The 23,666-nt window shown below is 46.0% G+C and overlaps 1 protein-coding gene across 7 annotated transcripts in view; it reads left to right on the top strand.

Moving 5' to 3' along the window:
* VPS35L (VPS35 endosomal protein sorting factor like) overlaps positions 1 to 23,666 on the top strand; it is a 145,461-nt gene that overhangs the window by 1,604 nt on the left and 120,191 nt on the right. For all 7 annotated transcript variants that reach the window (NR_158161.2, NR_158160.2, NM_001365295.2 and 4 more), the window contains exons 2-6: positions 7,545 to 7,644; positions 12,118 to 12,285; positions 15,813 to 15,935; positions 17,792 to 17,816; positions 21,746 to 21,822. Coding sequence is in view for 4 of the 7 variants with exons in the window: in NM_020314.7 (NP_064710.5) it covers positions 7,545 to 7,644; positions 12,118 to 12,285; positions 15,813 to 15,935; positions 17,792 to 17,816; positions 21,746 to 21,822 (493 nt within the window). In the remaining 3 variants the exon portion in view is untranslated. The remainder of the gene's footprint in view (positions 1 to 7,544; positions 7,645 to 12,117; positions 12,286 to 15,812; positions 15,936 to 17,791; positions 17,817 to 21,745; positions 21,823 to 23,666) is intronic.

Raw genomic sequence — 23,666 nt, forward strand, 5'->3', positions numbered from 1 at the left:
ATATTACAAGCAGGCAAACAGGTGCCATAACGCTTTTAGTATTTAGGGTCTCTATAGTTCCTAATATGGCCGTGCTCTAAATATTTTGTTGTTGTTGTTTTTGTTGAGACGGAGTCTCGCCCAGGCTTGATTGCAGTGGCGTGATCTTGGCTCACCGCAACCTCCGCCTCCCGGCTCAAGTGATTCTTTGCCTCACTCTCCCGAGTAGCTGGGATTACAGGCGATGCCACCACACCAGGCTAATTTTTGTATTTTTAGTAGAGACGGTGTTTCATCATGTTGGCCAGGCTGGTCTCGAACTCCTGACCTTAAGTGATCCGCCGACCTCGGGTTCCCAAAGTGCTGGGATTACAGGCGTGAGCTACCACACCCGGCCCGTGCTCTGAACATTTCCTTTTGAAGTATGCATTCATCTTTCAGTTTCCCTAATAGACTTCTTGCTCCTTAAAAGTTAAAAGGACTGGCTGGGCGCGGTCACTCATGCCTGTAATCCCAGCACTTTGGGAGGCCGAGGCAGGCGGACCACCTGAGGTCAGGAGTTCCAAGACCAGCCTGCCCAACGTGGTGAAAGCCCGTCTCCACAAAAATACAAAAAGTAGCCAGGCATGACGGCAGGTTCCTGTAATCCCAGCTACTTAGGAGGCTGAAGTGGGAGAATCGCTTGATCCCGGGAGAATCACTTGATCCCAGGAGGCGGAGGTTGCAGTGAGCCAAGATCGTGCCATTGCACTCCAGCCTGAGCTACTAAGCGAGACTCCGTCTCAAAAAAAAAAAGTTAAAGGGACTGAGTTTTGTCCATCTTTGTATGTGGAGCCTAGAACATAATGGTGAGTGCTGAATAATATTTATGAATGAATGAGGAAACTGAGGAGGACTGCAGAGGAGAAATGAGTTTCTGTCATTAAATTTACATTTATCAAGTCCTTATTTTCTGTCAGACATCACTCGTAAAGTGCGTAACATGTAACATCATTAGGTTCTTATAACAACCCCATGTTGCGGAGGAAGAAATAGAGGCAGAGAGATGAAGCAGTTTACTTAAATTAGCCCCACAAGGGATAGCTGAGGTTTGGAAGCCAGAGGCTATGATAGTAATCATCCTCATCAGCTGGACTTCAAATCTATATCCTGGGCTGAGGTTTCTGGCTTGCGGGGTTCCCCAAATCCCACTGCCTTGTCATGGGTCTCCCCAGGAATGCCTCTTTTTACCCACAGTTTTTGCTATCCCTGCTATATTTTGGCCTGGCTAGGAGATGAGATGTCCTGTATACCCTAGATCACATTTTCCGTTTAATCCTGTGGTTATAGCACACTTGGAAATACCACCCTTTGGACCGGGCAAGGTGGTTCATGCCTCTAATCCCAGCACTTTGGGAGGCTGAGGCGGGTGGATCACTTGATGTCCGGAGTTCAAGACCAGCCTGACCAACATAGTGAAACCCTGTCTCTACTAGAAAAAAAAAAAAATTCCTCAGGCGTGGTGACGGGTGCCTGCAGTCCCAGCTAGTCCAGAGGCTGAGGCAGGAGAATTGCTTGAACCCAGGAGGCAGAGGTTGCAGTGAGCTGAGATCGCGCCACTGCACTCCAGCCTGGATGACACAGTGAGACTCCGTCTCAAAAAAAAAAAAAAAACAACCCTTGGAGTCAGAATCTCTACATCATTTTAAGAGTTTTTTTTATGTGTAGCGGTGAAGGGGGCTGGGTAATATTGTGATTGTGGAAGAAAAAGCTGTGTGGTCCGATTATGTGATTAGTAACCAAAAACTTATTTGAGAATTAAAATAGTTGAGCAAAGCATTTAGTGGATTTTGGTGTTTCCAGTATAAGGAGATTAATTTGGTTAATCATAGTGGGATTTCTGTGTATCCATATTATCAGAGGTAAATAATTTAAAAATAGGCCATTGTCAACCTTTAATGTGCATATAAACCACCTGAGGATTTAGTTAAAATGCAGATCTGATTCTGTAGGCCTGGGGTATTTCAGCCCGCCCAGGTGATGTCATTGCTGGTGATCTGTGAACCACATTTTGAATAGCCAAGGGCTAAGCCCAGCCAATAGTGGAGGTGTGAAATGGTGGCCTTTTTTCCTGTGGCAGGTGCCAGTGATCCAGACAAGCCCTTTACATTACTGGGGGTTGGAATTATGGGGAATTTTTACCAGTTTATATCAACTATGTTAGCAAAAAGAAAAGGAATGATTTTTGAGAAAATGCCCACAAGAGGTCGCTGTTAGCCTTACCAAAGACCCAGAGATTAAAGAAAATGCTTTAACATCTCAGACTTAGGGATCAGAGAGCAAATTTGAGGAAATCATCAAAGAAGTGGTAGAAAATCAAAATATGATGGTTTACTGTGGGCTTTCAGAAAGGAAAATAAATTTTTTTTAAGATTTATTTCCACAAGCAGTATTTTTTTTTTTGAGATGCAGTCTCGCCTGCCGTAATCTCAGCTCACTGCAACCTCCACCTCCCGGGTTCAAGCAATTCTCGTGCTTCAGCCTCCCGAGTATCTGGGATTACAGGTGTGTGTGACCATGCCTGGCTAATTTTTTTGTGTTTCTAGTAGAAACGGGTTTTGCCGTGTTGGCCAGGCTGGTCTCGAACTCCTGACCTCAGGTGACCCACCCACCTCGGCTTCCCCCACCTTGGCCTCCCAAAGTGCTGGGATTACAGGCGTGAGCCACTGCGCCCGGCCCAGAAGCAGTATTTTTCACCACCATCCCCCTTTTTAAAAAAAATAAAATTCGTTCCAAAACTTGGCTCTTTTAAGGGAAATAGACTTAAATTTTAAAGTTCTCAACATGACTTATAGATAATCTATGGAACTACTGAATCTGATTCTATTGTTGCTCTCACTTTCGACAAGTTACCAACATTCTAACAGCCTCAGCTTCTTCATCTGAAAAATCGGCTTAGTACCTACCTTATTGGGTTGATTAAATGAGGAAACGGAGGTAAAGGCTGGCCCAGAGCCTGGTATACAGTAAGTGCATAATAAATGAGAACAGTCATTTGATTGTTGCATATGAAGTCATATTTCTGTTTTGATCTAGCGTTTGCTCAGCTGTTGATTGTTAGTAATTCCAATAGGGACAGAAAACACATTTGGAACAGACTTTCCTGTCACATTCAATTTTCTATTTTGTTAAATGAGCCTTTCAACATTCTACTTTTCTTGACAACAGATAAAATTAAGAGTCATTTGAGGCTGGGCGTGGTGGCTCACACCTATAATCCCAGCACTTTGGGAGGCCAAGGTGGGTGGTTCACTTGAGGTCAGGACTTCTAGACCAGCCTGGCCAAAATGGTGAAAGCCCGTCTCTACTAAAAATACAAAAATTAGCCAGGCGTGGTGACACACACCTGTAATCCCAGTCACTTGGGAGGCTGAGGCAGGAGAATTGAGTGAATCCAGGAGGCGGAGGTTGCAGTGAGCCGAGATCATGCCACTGCACTCCATCCTGGGGTACAAAGCAATACTCTGTCTAAAAAAAAAAAAGTGATTTGAAAAGAGGAAAAGTGTACTTTGATGTTTTAAACTCCATCTTGACTGTTGATGACTCTTATTCAAATTTATCCTTTGTGTTTTTTTTTTTAAATAAATCGAGGATTGCCTGATAGCATCCTTGATGGGATGGGAGTTTGGAGGAATATTTCATAGGTGATTTCAATTGCAATCTTTTGGAAGATGAAGATAGTGTATATTTTGTAAATATGACCCCAGAGGGACTAGGCAAATTATCGTGAAAGGGATTTTCCCTTAAAAAAAATAAAAGTAGGGGCCAGGTGCAGTGGCTCACGCCTGTAATCCCAGCACTTTGGGAGGCCGAGGTGGGCAGATCACGAGGTCGGGAGATCGAGACCATCCTGGCTAACACAGTGAAACCCCTATCTCTACTAAAAATACAAAAAAATTAGCCGGGTGTGGTGGCGGGCGCCTGTAGTCCCAGCTACTAGGGAGGCTGAGGCAGGAGAATGGCATGAACCTGGGAGGCGGAGCTTGCACTGAGCGGAGATCGCGCCACTGCACTCCAGCCTGGGCGACAGAGTGAGACTCTGCCTCAAAAAATAAAATAAAATAAAAGTAGAACTGGTTCATTATTGTCAACCAGCCTTTCTCCTCCTTTCCTACACTTGAAGCCGAGTTCATTTAGAAAGGATAGAAATGAAATGACATGGGAGCTCAATTCGTTTGTGCTGGCTTGGGTTTCTGGGTTAATGGAGGATATTGGGTAAAGCTGACTAGTTGCACGGCACAATTAGATCTGGGGTGCTAGTATTTCATACAAAGGTTAATGAAGTTGGGAATCTAAATGGGAGCAGAAGATGGGGTGGGGGGATGAATTTAAGGGACTTGGAGGCCAGGGAAAGTCCCTGTGCTCTTTGAGGTTCCTCTTTCCCTAAAGTGGGTTGGGAGGGACAAGAATTGTCCCGTGTGCCCAGAAAAGCTGTTTTACTGGGATGGGATATTTTACAAATGAGAAGTGCACATGTCTTTTGTTAAAGAAAAACTATTGGCTGGGCTCAGTGGCTCACGTTTCTAATCCCAGCAGTTTGGGAGACTGAGGCAGGTGGATCACCTGAGGTCAGGAGTTCGGGGTCAGCTTGGCCAACATGGTGAAACCCCGTTTCTAATAAAAAATACAAAAATTAGCCGGGCGTGGGGGTGTGCCTGTGGTCCCAGCTACTTAAGAGGCTGAGGCAGGAGGATGGCTTAAACCTGAGATGCAGAGGTTGCAGTGAGCTGAGATCGCACCACTGCACTCCAGTGAGACTCTTATGTCAAACAAAAACAAAACAAAACAAAAATATTATTCATGGTGCTTGTTAAAGGAAATGAGACAGGCTTTATTCCGGGGGGCTACTATAGTGGGGTTTTGCAATAGGGGACAGAGATTGGCCTCAGCTCCTAATGCAACAAGGAATAGTGGGAATTTATAGCCAAGTGGGGGTAGAAGAAGAATTCGATCAGATATTGAGGGCAGCTGGATATGGAGGGGGATTCTGGCTCAATCAACTTGACAGAATTCTTGCTAAAACTGGGCGGTGCAAACACAAACATGGAAATCCAATAGCTGAGCACTAGCTGGGGAGAACTCAGAGGAACCTGCCCAGAGTTTGGTCAAGGAGAGACTTTGTCACTTTCCATACTAGCTGAGATGTTCTGCTTGGAGAGTCAATGGAGGAGATGAGAAAGGGGTCAAATGGGTTAACTTGTCTATGACTTTGTGGCCCTGACGTTCTGTGACTATGGTAGCTTTTAAAATTATATGTGGATACACACATTGCATAAACAATTTGGTTAAATATGTGAGTTAAAAAAGATTTTAAACCATAACCTATGAAATTAAATTCTCAGATCTTCATAATAGAGATTAAGAAATGTAAAGACAATCATTTAAAAACATTTTCTGCCTTCCCCCCACTCCTGTGTTCCTCTCCTTCAGATTTTTTTTTCTTTTTAAGAGAGAGAGACTCATTCTGTTGCCCAGGCTGGAGTGCAGTGGTGCGATTATAGCTCACTGCAGTTTTGAGCCCCTGGATTCAAGCGATCCTCCCACCTCAGCCTCTAGAATAGCTGGGACTACAGGCACACACCACCACACCCAGCAAATTTATTTATTTATTTATTTATTTTGTAGAGATGGGGTTTCGCCATGTTGCTCAGGCTGGTTTCAAACTCCTGGGCTCAAGCAGTCCACCCATCTGTACCTCCCAAAGTGCTGGGATTACAGGCGTGAGCCACCATGCCCAGCAGAGAGAATTTCGTAAAAGGAAAACGGATACTTTATTTTCAAAGGAGCAACAATAAGACTACTATTGCAGCACAAAGATGAGCACAGAAGACACAGGGACCGTATCTTTAAAATGCTCAAAGAAGGCTGGGAGTGGTGGCTCATGCCTGTAATCCTGGCACTTTGGGAGGCTGAGGCAGGAGGATCACTTGAGCTCAGGAGTTTAAGACCAGCCTGGGCAACATAGGAAGATGCCAACTCTCAAAAAAACTTAAAAAAAAAAAAAAGAAAAGGAAAAATTCTGTTTGGTTTCTATAAATTTTACTATGAAGGCTCCAAGTGTGTTTTGTTTATTTGCTTTTGTACTTGTCCTACTTGGGCCACAGATGTTTCTTGAGTCTGTAGCTTGATGTCTTTCTTTGGTTTTGGAAAAGTTTCACCTATTATCTCTTCAGAGACTGTTCTTGCACATTCTCTCTCTCCTCCTCTTTGGGATTCCAGTTATATGTGTGTTAGGCCTTCTCTTCACGTTGCTTGTGTCTTTGAAATTCTGCCTGTCGTCCTGTTCTTTTTCTGCTCCATGCTTCAGTCTCCCCCTTTATTTTCCAGCTCACAAATCCTTTCTCTTTTTGAACCCTCAAGAAACCAATGAAAACACAGTGAGCTCTTCATCTCCTTTCTGCGTGGCTCCTTTCTCTTGCCCTATGCAGCTCAATGGGCGAATACCTTGAGGGGAAATCTGGGCTGGATTTCTGTCTTCTCTGTGCTCTCTCCTCTTCCTCCTGGCTGTCTTGATAGCCCTGAACTCCTGTTTATCTGTGCAGCTCTGTGAGGTTTCCTTAGAGCCTTTTTAGCTGCTCTGCTGCCTCACAGCTGCCCTGTGCTTGGCGTCAGCCTCTTGTCCTGTGCTGAGAATTCACAAATGCCCTCAGCGGGAAAGCTGGGCAAGGAGTGTTAGAGTCACCTTAGTGAGTTTCCCTTTGTTCTGGTGTGTGGCATAACAAGTCCAGTATGCTGGCAGCTGTTTATACCTTCAAATATATATATATTTTTTGAGACAGAGTCTCACTCTGTCCCCCAGGCTGGAGTGCAGTGGCATGATCTCAGCTTACTGCAACCTCCGCCTCCTGGTTGAAGCGATTCTCCTGCCTCAGCCTCCCAAGTAGCTGGGATTACAGACATGTGCCACCACGCCCGGCTAATTTTTTGTATTTTTAATAGAGATGGGGATTCACCATGTTAGCTAGGATGATCTCGATCTCCTGACCTCGTGATCCGCCTGCCTCGGCCTCCCAAAAGTGCTGGAATTATAGGCATGAGCCACTGCATCCGGCCAAACAGATTTTTTAAAATGTTGTGTTTTGTTTTTTGTTTGCCATGGAGTCTCGCTCTGTGGCCCAGGCTGGAGTGGAGTGGTGTGATCTCAGTTCACCGTGACCTCCACCTCCCAGGTTCAAGCGATTCTTCTGCGTCAGCCTCCCAAGTAGCTGGGATTACAGGCGTGCGCCACCATACCCACCGAATTTTTGTATTTTTAGTAAAGATGGTATTTTACCATGTTGGCCAGGCTGGTCTCAAACTCCTGACCTCACGTGATCCACCCACCTAGGCTGCCCAAATTGCTGGGATTACAGATGTGAGCCACTGCGCCTGGCCAAAAAGTTTGTTTTTAAATGTAGTTTCTTTTTAACTTTGGTGGGAATATTGTGCTGTTCTAAACTACCTTGTCATTGAAGAAGTCTCATCAGAAGTTTTTAGTGTTTTAAGTACCCCCATCCACTAATTGGCTGTGTTTCGCTGTTTACCAGGCACTCCAGGAATAGGAACTACAAAGCTGAATTTGCATCATGCCGACTGGAGGCTGTACCATTGGAGTTTGGGGACTATCACCCTCTGAAACCCATAACTGTAAGTTTTGTTAAGGGTCTTTCTGAATGATATTCTTATCCCTTGAAATGAAAGACAATCTTCCTGAGTCTTTTCCGTTTTGCCAGTGGTAGCCACTTTTGCATATTTGATTTTTTTTTTTTTTTCAGAGTCTTGCTCTGTCGCCCAGGCTGGAGTGCAGTGGTGGCTCACTGCAACCTCTGACCTCTGCCTCCTGGGTTTAAGCGATTCTCCTGCCTCAGCCTCCCGAGTAGCTGGGGCTATAGGCACACGCCACCATGCCTGGCTAAGTTTTTGTGTTTTTTTAGTAGAGATGGGGTTTCGCCATGTTGCCCAGGCTGGTCTTGAACTCCTGAGCTCAGACAGTCTGTCCACCTCCACCTCACAAAGATTATGGGTGTGGGCCACCGTGCCCAGCCTGATTTATTTTTGAGATGGAGTTTCACTTTGTAGCCCAGGCTGGAGTGCAGTGGTGTGATCTTAGCTCACGGCAACCTCTGCCTCCCAGGTTCAAGCAATTCACCTGCCTCAGCCTCCTGAGTAGCTGGGAGTACAGGCATGCACCATCACGCTTGGCTAATTTTTGCTATTTTTTTTATTTTTAGTAGAGACAGGGTTTCGCCATGTTGGCCAGGCTGGTCTCGAACCCTTGACCTCAGGTGATCCAACCACCTTGGCCTCCCAAACTGCTGGGATTACAGGAGTGAGCCACCTCGCCCGGCCTGCATATTTAAATCAACCAGTTTGTTCACTGCCTCTTTTTTGTAATATTGGCCTCACCTAGCACCATTTTTACTCCCTTCCTTCCTCCTTAGTGAGGTTCCCTTGTGAATGGGATGACTTTGTTCCTGATTTGGCTGTGTCAACAAAATGTATCTTGACTTTTAATTTTTGTATTTGGAATATAAGAGTCACTCTAATTGCCAGCAGAGAGTGCTGTCCTGAATAGCATCTTAGTCTATCTGTGGGTTTATTTAAAAAATAAAAACAAAAGCAGGCAAGAGACTTGGCTGGTTCCTCTCTGCCAGGTTGGTACTGTCTTATTAGCAAGTAATAGAAACTACACGGTTGTCATGTTGGGGAGAAGAGAAGATGTGATTGTCAGCATGGAGGCTCTGGGAATGTATGGAGATGATTGCATAAAGCAGAAGACCCCAAGACTGAGATTTAGCCTCCCAGGACCCCTTCAATCCCCATGCTGTTGTGTGGCTGTGGGTGACCTCAGCACAGCCACAGTTGCGTTCATTCTCAGGTGCCCGTTCCCCATGTTAAAAGAAAATTCTTGGCCGGGCTCCATGCCTCACACCCGTAATTTCAGCACTTTGGGAGGCTGAAGTGGGTGGATCACCTGAGGTCAGGAGTTCGACACCAGCCTGGCCAACATGGCAAAACCCCATCTCTACTAAAAATATAAAAATTAGCTGGGCATAGTGGCATATGCCTGTAGTCCCAACTACTCAGGAGACTAAGAGAGGAGAATCACTTAAACCCAGGAGGCAGAGGTTGCAGTGAGCTAAGATCACGCCACTGCCCTCCATCCTGGGCAACAGAGAGAAACTCCATCTCAAAAAAATAAAAGGAAAATTCTGAGCCAAATTAAATTTAATGGAGCTTAATTGAGCAAAGAATAATTCATGAATTGGGCAGCCTCCTGAGCCAGAGTAGGTTCAGAGAGGCTCCAGCACAGTCACGTGGTAGAAGATTTATGGACACAAAAAGGAAAGTGACATTCAGAAAATAGAAGTGAGGTACAGAAACAGCCGGATTGGTTACAGTTCAGTATTTGCCTTATTTGAACCCAATTTGAACAGTTGGCCCCCCCCTTTTTTTTCTTTTTTTTGAGACAGAGTTTCACTCTTGCCCAGGCTGGAGTGCAATGGCACAATCTCAACTCAGTGCAACCTCTACCTCCCGGGTTCAAGTGATTCTCCTGCTTCAGCCTCCTGAGTAGCTGGGACTACAGGCGCCCGCCACCATGCCCAGCTAATTTTTTTGTCTTTTTAGTAGAGACATGGTTTCACCATGTTGGCCAGGCTGGTCTCAAACTCCTGACCTCAGGTGATCCGCCTGCCTCAGCCTCCCAAAGTGCTGGGATTACAGGTATGAGCCACTGTGCCCGGCCCAGTTGGCCCCCTTTAATTGGCCAAAACTTGGTGATTGGCACAAGAGTAGGTTACACTCTGTTTACATGTCCAATGAGGTTATAGTTCACTATGTGCAGAGAAACCTTTAGGCCAAACTTAAAATAGGTAAGGAGACAGCTTTAGGCTAAACTTGATTTAACACCCATACCATAACAGAATAGCTGAGAAGAGCTGCTGCAGCTCCAGGCCTATCCTGTTAGGTTAGCAACATCAGCAGCAGGAAAATGCTTTTCTCAAGCAGTTTTCATTGACCCAGTTTTGTTATGCGCCCTACCCTGAACCAGCATTGGTGACCTGCTGTATAGAATAAGTTGATAGATTGGGGTAGGTCTAATGCTCACCTTGGGAACTGAGAACAGAGTTCACCCCACCAGGCCTGTAGGAACTGAGTGTGGGGGAGAGATGTTTTCTCAAATAAAAATTGGGGTATTAAGTATTAAGCCTGTGAGGTGGAGGAATGGGTGCCAGGCAGACAAAAACAGCAAATGTACCCCAATGGGAGGTGCTTCTCTCCCTCCCCTAGACTGCAGTTCAACTCCATTCAGGCAGCCATCGCCGGCAGTTGGCATCTGACTCGACAGGTTTGAGGGCAAGGTCCTCAGTGAGACAGCCCTGGCCCAGTATGGTAGCTCATGCCTGTACTCCCAGCACTTTGGGATGCTAGATGAGAAGATCCCTTGGGCCCAGGAGTTCGAGAACAGCCTTGGCAACATAGTGATACCCCACTTCTACAAAAAGTAAAAAAACAATTAGCAAAGTGTGATGGTGTGCTTGTAGTCCCAGCTACTCAGGAGACGGAGGCAGGAAGATTGCTTGTGCCCAGGATGTCGAGGGTACAGTGAACCGTGATCACACCATTGCACTCCAGGCTTAGTGACAAAGCGAGACCCTGTCTCCAAAAAAAAAAAAAAAAGACATCTTCACTTCAGAAACTCCAACTTCGCTACACATTGGGAGTTCCCATGCCTCCCTCCCTCATGTTCAATAATTTGCTATAGTGGCTCACAGAACTAGGGAAACATTTACTTATACTTACCAGTTTATTATTTAGTATTTACTTGTACTTAACAGTTTATTATTAAGGATATTACAAAGAATACAGATGAACAGCCAGATGAAGAGCTACGTAGGGTGAGGCCCAGGGGAAGGGGCACACAGAGCTTTCATGTCCCCTCCAGGTACCTCGATGTGTTCTTGTTCACCTACCTGGAAGCTCTTCAAACCGCCCCCCCCTTTTTTTTTTTTGAGACAGGGTCTCACTGTATCGCCCAGCTGGAGTGCAATGGCACATTCTCAGCTCACTGCAACCTCTGCCTCCCAAAACCCCATTTTTCATGTTTTTTTTTTTTTGAGGCATCGTTGCATAGGCATGATTGATTATTCATTCGGTCTCCAGCCCTCTCACCTTCCCGAAGGATGGGGAATGGGGCTGAAAGCTCCAATCTTCTAATCATGGCTTGGTCTTTCTGGTGACCAGACCCCATCCTGAAGCTCTGCAGGAGCCCATCGGGAGTCACCTTATTAGGACAAAAGATGCTCCTATCACCCAGGAAATCTCCTAGGGTATTAGGAGCTCTGTGGGAGGAACTGGGGGCAGAGACCACATAAATTTAACAGCTTGGAGTGCAGTGGTGCGATCTCGGCTCACTGCAACCTCCACCTCCTGGGCTCCAGCCATCCTCCCACTTCAGCCTTCTGAGTAGCTGGGACCACAGGCATGTACCACCACACCTGGATTATTTTCATATCTTTTGTAGAGATAGGACTTCACCATGTTGCCCAGGCTGGTCTCAAACTCCTGGCTTCAAGTGATCCTTCTGCCTCAGCACCACAAAGTGTTGGGATACAGGCATGAGCCACTGCACCCAGTAGAAAACTTAACTTTTATGAGGTGTTCAAGGGAGAAAGGCAAAAAAAAAGTACCTGGTTAAAGTAGAAATTCCCTACTTAGATGTTAGTTGTTGGTTTTGATTGGTAGTCTCTAGTTAGTGGGTAGTTGGCGATTTGCAACTGATTAAGCTTAAGTTCCATTTTGCTACTTATATTGAGTTGGATTTTGGTTTGCTACATAGGGAACCCCAGGTGCTGTAGCCATCTCAGTCCAGTGACCTCTCAATTAATTTTTTTAACACTTCCTAACCCTAACTTCCTACTTTCCCTTCCTTGACAGTTGTGATCCTGAGTCATGTCCATTTGTCACAAAAACTAAGCATCCCCTGCAGATGGTTAAGTCTCTGCTGCAAATGAACCATCCATTCAACTACCAGAATGGGAGGAAAGTACCCACTGGAGTGTTTCACTGGAGAGAGTTGTGGGAGTTCCGTTTTACCTCCAGAAATTTTCCTCACAGGTCACAGAGTCAAAGACAAAGAAAGTGAACCGGAAAGGAAGCACTTCTTCCACGTCCTCCTCCTCCTCCAGCTCCGTGGTGGACCCGCTGAGCAGCGTCCTCGATGGGACTGACCCCCTCTCCATGTTTGCAGCCACTGCTGACCCCGCAGCCTTGGCAGCTGCCATGGTAATGCACCCCAGCCATGGTCGTCCAGTGGGGGTTGGTTTTGTGGGTGCAGGAATGGGTGGTTTTCTTGTGCCCTGCCCTTTTTTTTCCCCTGAGAGACAGAGTCTCACTCTGTCACCCAGGCTGGAGTGCAGTGGTGTGGTCATGGCTCACTGCAGCCTCCAACTCCGGGGCTCAAGCAATTCTCCCACCTCACCCTCCTGAATAGCTGGGATTATAGGTACACACTACTGTGCCGGGTTAATTTTTTATTTTGTTGTAGAGGTGGGGTCTTGCTGTGTTGCCCAGGGTGGTCTTGTACTCCAAGCCTCAAGCGATCCTCCCACCTGAGCCTCCTAAAGCTTCTTCCCCTTTTTTAAGTTGCACAAGTAATGCACACGGTACCTTCTGGTCAGGTCATCCTGACATGAGAGGCTGGTGTAGCTCTGTGAAGTCTTTTTGTTTTTTTGTTTGAAAGCATTTTAAAATTTATTTTTATTTTTTAATTTAATATTTTTTTCAGACAGCCTTGCTGTGTCACCCAAACTGGAGTGCAGTGGTGCAATCTCACTGCAGCCTCCGACTCCGGGTTCAAGCAATTCTCTCACCTCAGCCTGCCAAATTGCTGGGACAGGCATGCACCACCATGCCCAGCTAATTTTTGTGTTTTTTGGTAGAGATGGGCTTTCATCATGTTGACCAGGCTGGTCTTGAACTCTTGACCTCAAGTGATCCACCTGCCTCAACCTCCCAAAGCACTGGGATTACAGGCGTGAGCCACTGCACCTGGCTCTTAAAATTTATTTTTAATTTTAATTTTATTCTTCTTATAAATCTTTTTACATAATACATAAGTAAATCACTCATTTTGATGTGAAAAAGTCAGACACTACAGATAAAGTCATGTAGAGCAATCCTCATTCCAATCTCCACCCTGGCGGTTGTGAGAATGATGGCTGTAATGTGTCTTCTTCCATAGCTTTTCCCCTGTATTTTCATAGATACTTGCGATAGCAGTTTCTGAGCATTCCCATACGTACTCATATATAAATAATTACAGCATCAACTTACTGCATGGCAGGCATTTTTCCGGAGTGCGTTTTGTATTTGGTTCTCTTACTACCTTGTGAGAGGTATTGGAATCCTCATTAAAGAGGCAGCCATGGAGGGATAGAGATAACAAGTCACATCCAAGCTGGGATTCAAACCTGGCCAGTCTGACTTCAGAATACATGCTCTCGATCATCATCCTATGCTGTGTTTCATATATATATATATATATATATATATATATATATATATATATATATATATATATATTTTTGAGATGAAGTCTCACACTGTCACCCGGGCCGGTGTGAAGTGGGGTGATCTCGACTCGCAGCCTCCACCTCCCAGGTTCAAGCGATTCTCCTGCCTCAGCCTTCCGAGTGGCTGGGACTACAGGCACGTGCCACCATGCCCAGCTAATTTTTGTATTTTAGTAGAGACGGGGTTTCACTATATTGGCCAGGCTGGTCTCGAACGCCTGACCTCGTGATCCACCCACCTCGGCCTCCCAAAGTGCTGCAATTACAGGCGTAAGCCACTGTGCCCGGCCTGTGTTTCATATATTATTTACCATTGTTACATAAATGGAACTGCTGTTTTGTGACTTGTTTTTTTGGAGATAGTCTTGCTCTTTTGCCTAGGCTGGACTGCAGTGGCATGATCATAGCTCGCTGCAGCCTTAAAGTCCTGGGCTCGAACAATCCCCCTGCCTCAGCCTCTCGAGCAGCTGGGACTTCAGGTGTGTGCCACCGCACTCAGCTAATTTTGGATTTTTTGGTAGAGTTGGGGTCTCACTGTGTTGCCAAAGCTGGTCTCAAACTCCTGGGCACAAGCAATCCTCCTGCCTTGGCCTACCAGAGTTGCTGGGATTACAGGCCTGAGCCACTGCACCCCACAACTTTTTTTTTTAATTTATTTTATTTTATTTTATTTTATTTTTTTGAGACGGAGTCTCATTCTGTTGCCCAGGCTGGAGTGCAGTGGCGCGATCTTGGCTCACTGTGACCTCTGTCTCCTGGGTTCAAGTGATTCTCCTGCCTCAGCCTACCTAGTAGCTGGGATTACAGGCATGTGCCACCACACCTGGCTAATTTTTGTATTTTTTGTAGAGACAAGGTTTCGTCACATTGGCCAGGCTGGTCTCGAACTCCTAACCTCAGGTGATCTGCCCACATTGGCCTCCCAAAGTGCTGGGATTACAAGTTTGAGCCATGCCGCCCAGCCAACTTTTTTTTTTTTTTTAACTTGACCATATGTCTTGGAGAACTATCCATGTTAGTACATTTAGAACAACCTTATTATTTTGACCAGCCGTATGGTATTCTAAAGACTGGATTTACCTATTTTAATTTACCATTCCTCTACTGATGTATCCATCAGATGGAGGATATCCCAGATAGTTTCTGGGTTTTGCTGGTACAAACAGCAGTGCAGCATGTGTCTCGAACACACACACATCTTGGTGCATGTCTGCAAGGATTTCTGCAGGATAGCTTCCTAGAAGTTCTTTGCTGGTTGGCCAGGCGCAGTGGGTCACGCCTGTAATCCCAGCACTTTGGAAGGCTGAGGCGGGCGGATCATGAGGTCAGGAATTCGAGACCAGCCGGACCAACGTGGTGAAACACCATCTCTACTAAAAATACAAAAATTAGCCAGGTGTGGTGGCGGGCACCTGTAATCCCAGCTACTCGGGAGGCTGAGACAGGAGAATCACTTGAACCTGGGATGCGGAGATTGCAGTGAGTAGAGATCACGTCACTGCACTCCAGCCTGGGCAACAGAGCGAGACTCCATCTCTTTGCTGGCATAAGGCAATGTGTATTTAAGGTTTTGATGGCTATCACCAAATTGTCCTCCAAAAAGAGTTAACCAGTCTGCATTTCCACCAGTGATGTTGAAGAGGGTCTGTTTCCCTGCATCCTTGCCAGCCTGACATCAGCCAGCATTTTAACTCTTTGACATTCTGATAGTTGAAAAAGTGGTCTTTTCCAACTATCCTTTCCTTAATTCTTAATGAGTTTGAGCATTTTTTGATATGTTTATTGTCCATTTATGATGAAATGGTCTGAATTTTTTTTTTGAGATGGAGTCTTGCTCTGTCACTCAGACTGGAGTGCAGTGGTACAATCTTGGCTTACTGCAACCTCTGCCTTCCAGGTTCAAGCGATTGTCCTGCCTCAGCCTCCTGAGTAGCTGGGACTACAGGCATGCACCTGGCTAATTTTTGTATTTTTAGTAGAGATGGGGTTTTACCATGTTGGCTAGGCTGGTGTTAAACCCCCGCCCTTAAGTGATCCGTCCACCTTGGCCTCCCAAAGTGCTGGGATTACAGGCGTGAGGCACCATGCCTGGCGCTGTAATTTTTTTTATGATAGTAAACCTTGAGACAAATCTCTTTTATTCCACAGTAAAGGACTATCTGGCTTCTATTTATATATGTATATATTTAAAGATCAAAATGATATTGCTGCTGAAGAGATTATCTTGCCTTTCTTTAGGACAGCTCCAGAAGGAAACGTGATAGAGATGATAACTCCGTTGTAGGATCGGATTTTGAGCCTTGGACCAACAAACGGGGAGAAATCCTTGCCCGGTACACCACTACCGAAAAGCTGTCTATTGTGAGTACCAGGAGACCCTCTCCAGAGTCTACTTTGGAGTTAGTAGTAATTTCTTTTTGTTATGTTGCTTCAACTCCTGGGCTCTGTAAGTTTCACTTATTTATTTATTTTTCTACTTCTCTTAAAAGCTCACATATAAGGCTTCATGTAGTATGTCAGTGTTGTTGGCAGAAAAATGTGCTGACAGGTTTCCCAAAAAAAAATGTTAAGGATCAGGGATGTGGCACAGGCCAGAGAAAGAATTAGAACAGCAGAGTCTTGTCTTTGGGAGGAGGTTTGAATTATGAAGGGAGGAGGTCGGGCACGGTGGCTCACGCCTGTTATCCCAGCACTTTGGGAGGCCAAGGTGGGCAGATCACTTGAGGTCAGGAGTTCGAGACCAGCCTGGCCAACATAGTGAAACCCCATCTCTACTAAAAAAATTAGCCAGGCGTGGTGGCGGGCACCTGTAATCCTAGCTACTCAGGAGGTTGAGGCATGAGAATTGCTTGAACCCGGGAAGTGGAGGTTACATTGCGCAGAGATCACGCCACTGCACTCCAGCCTTGGTGACAGAGTGAGACCCTATCTCAAAAAAAATTAATTAATTAATTAATTTAAAAAATGAATTAAGGGAGGAGAGCACAACACTGGAGGAGAAAGGTGTCACTCAGTAAGTCCCATATAGCTGGGTTTTCCCCTGGAGCTGGAAATTTACTATTTCTCTGGATGGCCATTAGGTGAAGTAGTTGGCTTTGGCCTCAAGACACTTACGAAATTCGAGGCTTACCCTTCACTTGGCAAATTGCTGTGGAAGGAAAGACTCAGGAGAGCTGAGACCAACCCAGTCAGGTTAATGCCTGTGTGAGTTAGGACTGGGTTCAGTTGCTTAGAACTAAAGCCCCTGCTAACATTGTAAACAAGAGTGACCTGTATCCCTCCTTACGCTGGAGAAAAGTCTCGAGGAGAGGAGTCCAGGGCTGGTTTGGCAGCTCCGAGGGCATCAGGGTTCCGCCGCATTCTTTCTTGCTCCTCGGCTGTGTTGAGTGTTGCCTCACATTCATGTTGGTAGACAGAGGGAGGAAAGGGAAAGAAAGATGCGCCCCCTCCCATTTAGGAAGACTTCTTGGGGTCCCGCAACACTTTTAGTTACATTTGTCTTGAAGGTGTGATCATGGGCCACGCATAGATGCAGGGAGGCTGAGAAATGTAGCAGCGTGTCCATCTACAAATGGGGCTGTGCCCTGGAGGAAACAGTGAACTTGGCAGGCCATGGGGAACGCTTGGCCTCAACGCCTCTTCTCTTCATTTTTTCCTCCCAGGGTGTGTACTCATTGAACAGAATGATAGGCAGAATTGCTGGACTATTTAAATTGAGTCTTTTTTTTTTTTAACTGTACAGAGTTAACTTAGAGCAGTGATTCTCAACCAGGAGTAATTTTTACCCCTGGGTCATCATTTGGCAATATCTAGAGACATTTTTGACTGTCACAGTTCTGGGGGTGGTACTGACATTTATTGGGTGGAGGCCAGAGATGGGGCTAAACATCCAACGGTGCACAGAATTAATCTCCCACAAAAAGTTATCTGGCCTCAAATGGCAGTAGTGTAGAGGGTGATAAACCCTGATTCAGAGTAGGTTAAAAATAGTTCTATTATGTGACTCCGCTGTCATATCAAAAATTTTAGTATTTGTCTGCTGACTTTGAGAACCCTGACTTGAGTAGAAATTTGAATCTCCAGTGGTTTTTAGTGACTGTATTTTTCTTCTTTGAATATATATTTCTTTCTCTTGGGTATGTAAATGGCTCTGTTGGAAAACAATGAACATACTGCCTTCGATTTTTAAAATATTAATGAATTTTATGTCTCTGCAGAATCTGTTTATGGGATCTGAAAAAGGTAAGATGAGTTTGTTGTTGTTTTGATGGGAAAATTCTGGCATTACTTTTAGTATAATTTTACAAAGGAAAAAAGTTTTATGTGATATGATTCTGATGTTTGATTCAGTTGGAGCTGCTATTTCTTAGATTGTGGATAGACGTAGAAATAAAATACATATTTAGAGCATGAATTAAAAAAATACCAAATACCAGCACTTTGGGAGGCCAAGGTGGGTGGATCATCTGAGGTCAGGAAGTTTGGTACCAGCCTGGCCAACATGGTGAAATCTCGTCTCTATTAAAAATACAAAAATTTGCTGGGCGTGGTGGCGCACGCCCGTAATCCCAGCTACTCAGGAGGCTGAAGCAGGAGAATCACTTGAACCTGAGAGGCGGAGGTTTCAGTGAGCCAAGATTGCATCATTGCACTGCAGCCTGGGTGACAGGAATGCCGTCTTAAAAAAAAAAAAAAAATACAGCCGGGCACGGTGGCTCACCTGTGTAATCCCAGCACTTTGGGAGGCCAAGACAGGCAGATCGCCTGAGGTCAGGAGTTTGAGACCAGCCTGGCCAACATGGTGAAACCCCATTTCTACTGAAAATACAAAATTTTGCTGGGCGTGGTGGTACATGCCTATAATCCCAGTTACATAGGAGGCTGAGGCAGGAGAATCGCTTGAACCTGGGAGGCGGAAGTTGCAGTGAGCCAAGATTGCACTCCAGCCTGGGCAACAAGAGTGAAATTCCGTATTAAAAAAATATATATATATGGCCTGGTGCGGTGGCTCACACCCGTAATCCCAGCAGTTTGGGAGGCCAAGGCGGGCAGATCACTTGAGGTCAGGAGTTCGAGACCAGCCTGGCCAACAATGTGAAACTCCATCTCTACTAAAAAAAAAAAAAAAAAAAAAAATTAGCCAGGCATGGTGACAGATGCCTGTAATCCCAGCTACTCAGGAGGCTGAGGCAGGAGAATCGCTTGAACCTGGGAGGCGGAGGTTGCAGTGAGCCAAGATCGTGCCATTGCATTCCATTCTGGGTGACAGAGCGAGACTCTGTCTCAAAAAAAAAAAAAAACAAAAAAAAAAAACAAAGAGGTTACTAGGAGTAAAACGTAAGCTTACTGTTTAAGAATTACAGAGGAAGTAGTCTCCCCCTCATTGTGCCTCCCTCACCAACTGGGTTTTAGAGAGCCTTTCCCTTGCCTTAAGTCTTTTCCCTTGTGCAATAAGGTATGTTGGTGAGGGGGTCACATGCTTAGTCTTATACGTCACTGGTCCCTGAATGCAGTTCTCAGCTTCCTCTCCTAAGACACACAGTCAGAAGCTCTGGACCAGGGTGTCTCAAACTGCCGTGTAGCAGGATTTCCTGAGGAACTTTTGTATGAATATAGATGCCTGGCCCCCACTTGCTCAATTAATCTTGCAGGATGGGACCCCAGAATTCCTATTTTGATGCTCCAAGGGGATTCTGGAGCAACTGACGGATCATGTGCTGCTGGGTGCAGATGAGCACAATCATAGTTCATTGCAGGTCTCTGATATGGCAGCTGCCACTCTCCCCACGGCTCTGCTGGATGAGACAGCACGTTAGAAATCAAGAGAGTGGGAACAGCTTTGTTATGCATAGAATTTTTTTTTTTTTTGAGATGGAATTTTGCTCTGTCACCCATGGTGCAGTGCAACCTCTGCCTCCTGGGTTCAAGCAATTCTCCCACCTCAGCCTTCTGAGTTACTGGGACTATAGGTGTGCACCACCAGGCCCAGCTAATTTTTGTATTTTTAATAGAGACAGGGTTTCACCATGTTGGCCAGGCTGGTCTCAAACTCTTGACCTCAAGTGGTCCACCTGCCTTGGCCTCCCAAAGTGCTGGGATTACAGGTGTGAGCTACCACGCCCAGCTTGTTATGGACAGAATTTTGATCCCAGACCATAAAAGGTAAATCATACCCACCAGTTTGTAAAGATCAAATAGAGTGATGATACCAAGTGTCTTAGTTTGTTTAGTGGTACTATAAAGGAATACCAGAGGCTGGCTAATTTATAAGGAAGAGAGGTTTACTTGACTTATGGTTCCACAGGCTATATAAGAAGCATGGTGCAGCATCTGCTGTTGGTGAGGGCCTCAGGCTGCTTCCACTCATGGTGAAAGCAAATGAGAGCAGGTGTGTGCAGAGATTGCATGGCAAGAGAAGGGAGGAGAGAGAGGGAGAAAATGCCAGGCTTTTTTCAACAGCCAGTTCTCATGGGAAGTAAGAATAACTCATTACTGCACTCATTACTGCAAGGATGGCACCAAGCCGTTCATGGTGGATCCCCCACTACAACCCAGACACCTCCCACCAGGCCCCACCTCCAACACTGGGGATCACATTTCAAAGATGAGACTTTGTATGAATATAGAGCAATAGGAGCTCTCATATGCTGCTGGTGGGAATGTAAAATGGCACAACCACCTTGTAGAACACTTTTGCATTTTTTATTTTATTTGAAGACAGGTGCTGTGGTCTGGTTGTTTGTGCCTAACCCCACTCCCCTGCCCCGATTCATATGTTGAAATCCTAACCCCAAGATGATGGTATTAGGAGATGGGCCCTTTTCAGAGGTGATTAGGTCATGAGGGTGGAACCCTCATGAATGGGATTAGTGCCCTATAAAAGAGGTCCAAGGGCACTCCCCTCACCCCTTCCACCAAGTGAAAACACAGCAGGAGGGCATCATCTATGAACCCAACCGGAAAGCAGGCTGTCATCAGGCACTGGGACCTAATCTGCTGGGACCTTGATCTTGGACTTCCCAGCCTTTAGGACTGCGAGAAATACATTGCTCTTATTTATAAGCCACCCACTTTGTAGCATTTTGTTATAGCAGCTCAAAGGGATTAACACAATGAGCCAACCCTTTGATCCAGCATTCCACTACTAGGGGTATCCCCAGATCAGGGGTTGGTAAACTGCATGCTGCAGGCCAAGTCTGGTCCACTGCCTGTTTTTTAAGTACAGTTTTATAGGAACAGAGCCCTATCAATTTGTTTACATATTATCTATGCCTGCTCTTGTGCTACAACAGTAGAGTTGAGTAGTTGGAGCAGACACTTTGTGACTCTTAAAACCTAAAACATTTGTCAGGCTTACAAAAAGAGTTCTGCAGCTCGACCCTAAGTCCACATTTCTTTCTTTTTTCTTTTTTTTTTTTTTGAGATGGAGGTTACAGTGAGCCGAGATCGCGCCACCGCACTCCAGCGTGGACGACAGAGTAAGACCCCATCTCAAAAAAAAAAAAATGCTAGAACAGAGGCCCCCTAAAGATGGGGGAAGGATTCTGAAATAGACGGCCGCAGAGGGCAGCAGTCAGCTAGATGCATCGCCCTGCCTTGTGGCTGGCCTGTGGCCTGGGGGCCCTTCCTTCATCCCTCCACCAGTCCCTGCTGATGGCGAAATTGTGCTGACAGATGCTGGAAGGAGGCACAGCTAGTCCTGTTTGCTCGAAGAGAGGGCTTTGAAGCCCTAGTGTTTCCACCCTGGGTAGACAGTGAGATGGTTGTTTTGTTAGCAGGAGAGCACAATTCTACGCTGTGAGTAAGAGCCTAAGAGGGCCTTTTGTTCATAGAAAACAATTAGATGACGGATTTTTGGCATCCTTATCTGGACTGCCTTTCTTTAGGAATAAACAGATGATACAGAGCAAAGTTTGTAAATCTCAAATGCAGCGGTTAACCTCTTTGAGGCTGGCCCACTGGGCTCCCAGGGGCAGCTTCTAAGTGGGAAATGTTTCGATGGAATTCTGGTTACATAAGGAAGTTGCTTTGAAAATCTGGGATAGTTTTCTATAATGGAATCATTCCCTTGTGTCTTTATTCACGATGAAGTGTAGAGTGAAAGATGCCTCCACTGGGGGTATTGGTGCACGAGAAAAGCCACCTGTGTGACGTAAATTCATTCTGTTTAGGCAAAGCTGGGACTGCCACATTGGCAATGTCAGAGAAGGTGCGGACCCGGCTGGAGGAGCTGGATGACTTTGAGGAGGTGAGCAAGTCATTTGTGGAATACAGGGAGTGGGAGAGCTTTTCCTTCCTCCTGCCAAGTGAGATCAACCTCGGTGGCTGCTCTTTGATTAATTCCTGGGCTGCGCATTGTGCTTGGTCCTCTCGAGGCAATGACTCCATCCAGGGAAGGGTGCCAGTGTGCAGTTGGCCGAGCTCACGGAAGCCTGACTGGGGCTGCTTTTCTAGAGGCCTCTTTTCTCATTGTGATGCCTGAGCAAGGCTGGGTCGCCTAGCAACAGTGTCTAATGGTAAAAACCAACTGCAAGGCCAGGCGCGGTGGCTCACGCCTGTAATCCCAGCACTTTGGGAGGCCAAGGCGGGAGGATCACCTGAGGTCAGGAGTTCGAGACCAACCTGGCCAACATGGTGAAACCCTGACTCTACTAAAAATACAAAAATTAGCCAGGCGTGATGGTGGGTGCCTGTAATCCCAGCTACTCGGGAGGCTGAGGCAGGAGAATTGCTTAAACCTGGGAGGCGGAGGTTGCAGTGAGCCAAGATCATGCCACTGCACTCCAGCCTGGGCGAAAGAGCAAGACTTTGTCTAAAAAAAATAACCCAACTGCAGTCACCTCCCTGAGAAGCAGCCTTATATGGAGCACAAAGACCTTGCTTTGCAACAGACGCTGCTCAGGCTGGCTGGATATGGCCCACAGGAATCTTTTAATTGGCCTACATGTACTTTGAAAAAAAAGTGAGTCTTTTGCCAACACTTAAACAGTGGTAAATGTAACCAACAAATACAGAATTTCTTGAAAAAAAAAATCTTTGCCAGGCGCGGTGGCTCATGCCTATAATCCCAGCACTTTAGGAGACCGAGGCAGGTGGATCTCCTGAGGTCAGGAGTTTGAGACCAGCCTGGCCAACATGGTGAAACCCCGTCTCTACTAAAAATACAAAAATTAGCTGGGCATGGTGGCGGATGCCTGTAATCCCAGCTACTCAGGAGGCTGAAGTAGGAGAATTGCTTGAACCCAAGAGATGGAGGTTGAGATCGCTCTGTCACCCAGGCTGGAGTGCAGTGGTGCGATCTCAGCTCACTGCAACCTCTGCCTCCTAGGTTAAAGCAATTCTCCTGCCTCAGCCTCCCGAGTAACTGGGATTACAGGCACGCGCCACCGTGCCCAGCTAATTTTTGTATTTTTAGGTGAGAGGGTTTCACGATGTTGACCAGGCTGGTCTCAAACTCCTGACCTCAAGTGATCCACCCGCCTCAGCCTCCCAATATGCTGGGATTACAGATGTGAGCCACCATGCCCAGCCTACTCTTATTTCTTTAATAAAGCGTTTTTCACTTTGAATTGTAGGAAATATACATATAAACCTTTGGTTCCAGGTCTCATCATGTGTGTTTGCATGACCTTCACTCCTGTGAGTTGTGTGAAGAGCCTCTTAACAATAGCCCAGGGTTAAGGAGCATTTACTGTGCGTCAGGGACCGTGCCAAGTCATTACCTACATGGTCATTTCATCCCCATGACGATCCCTTGCTCAGCTGCCGAGGGTTTTTGCTATGGTTGTCTTTCTGTCCTGATTACTCTCTCCTTGGTCTAATTAACACCCCCACACTCTGCAGTACCTGTACTCCCCTGAGAGTTTGTCTCAAGTATCACTCCTCCAGGAAGCCATTCCTGATCCCCCCATCACAGTTTACAGTCCATTTCTTTGTTACCATATTTTTTCCAGTCTGAGATGTACCATTTCTCTCACATTTGAATATCTCTGAAATTGGGGTATATGTTCCTCAGTTGGTTCCTGTCAGTGATCAGCATATTTTTCTTCCTTAGTAGCCCGTGAAACAGTTGCGCTTTTTTCAATGGGCACC

The sequence above is a fragment of the Homo sapiens genome, chromosome 16 (genome assembly GCF_000001405.40).
Source record: "Homo sapiens chromosome 16, GRCh38.p14 Primary Assembly".
Lineage (NCBI taxonomy): Eukaryota > Metazoa > Chordata > Mammalia > Primates > Hominidae > Homo > Homo sapiens.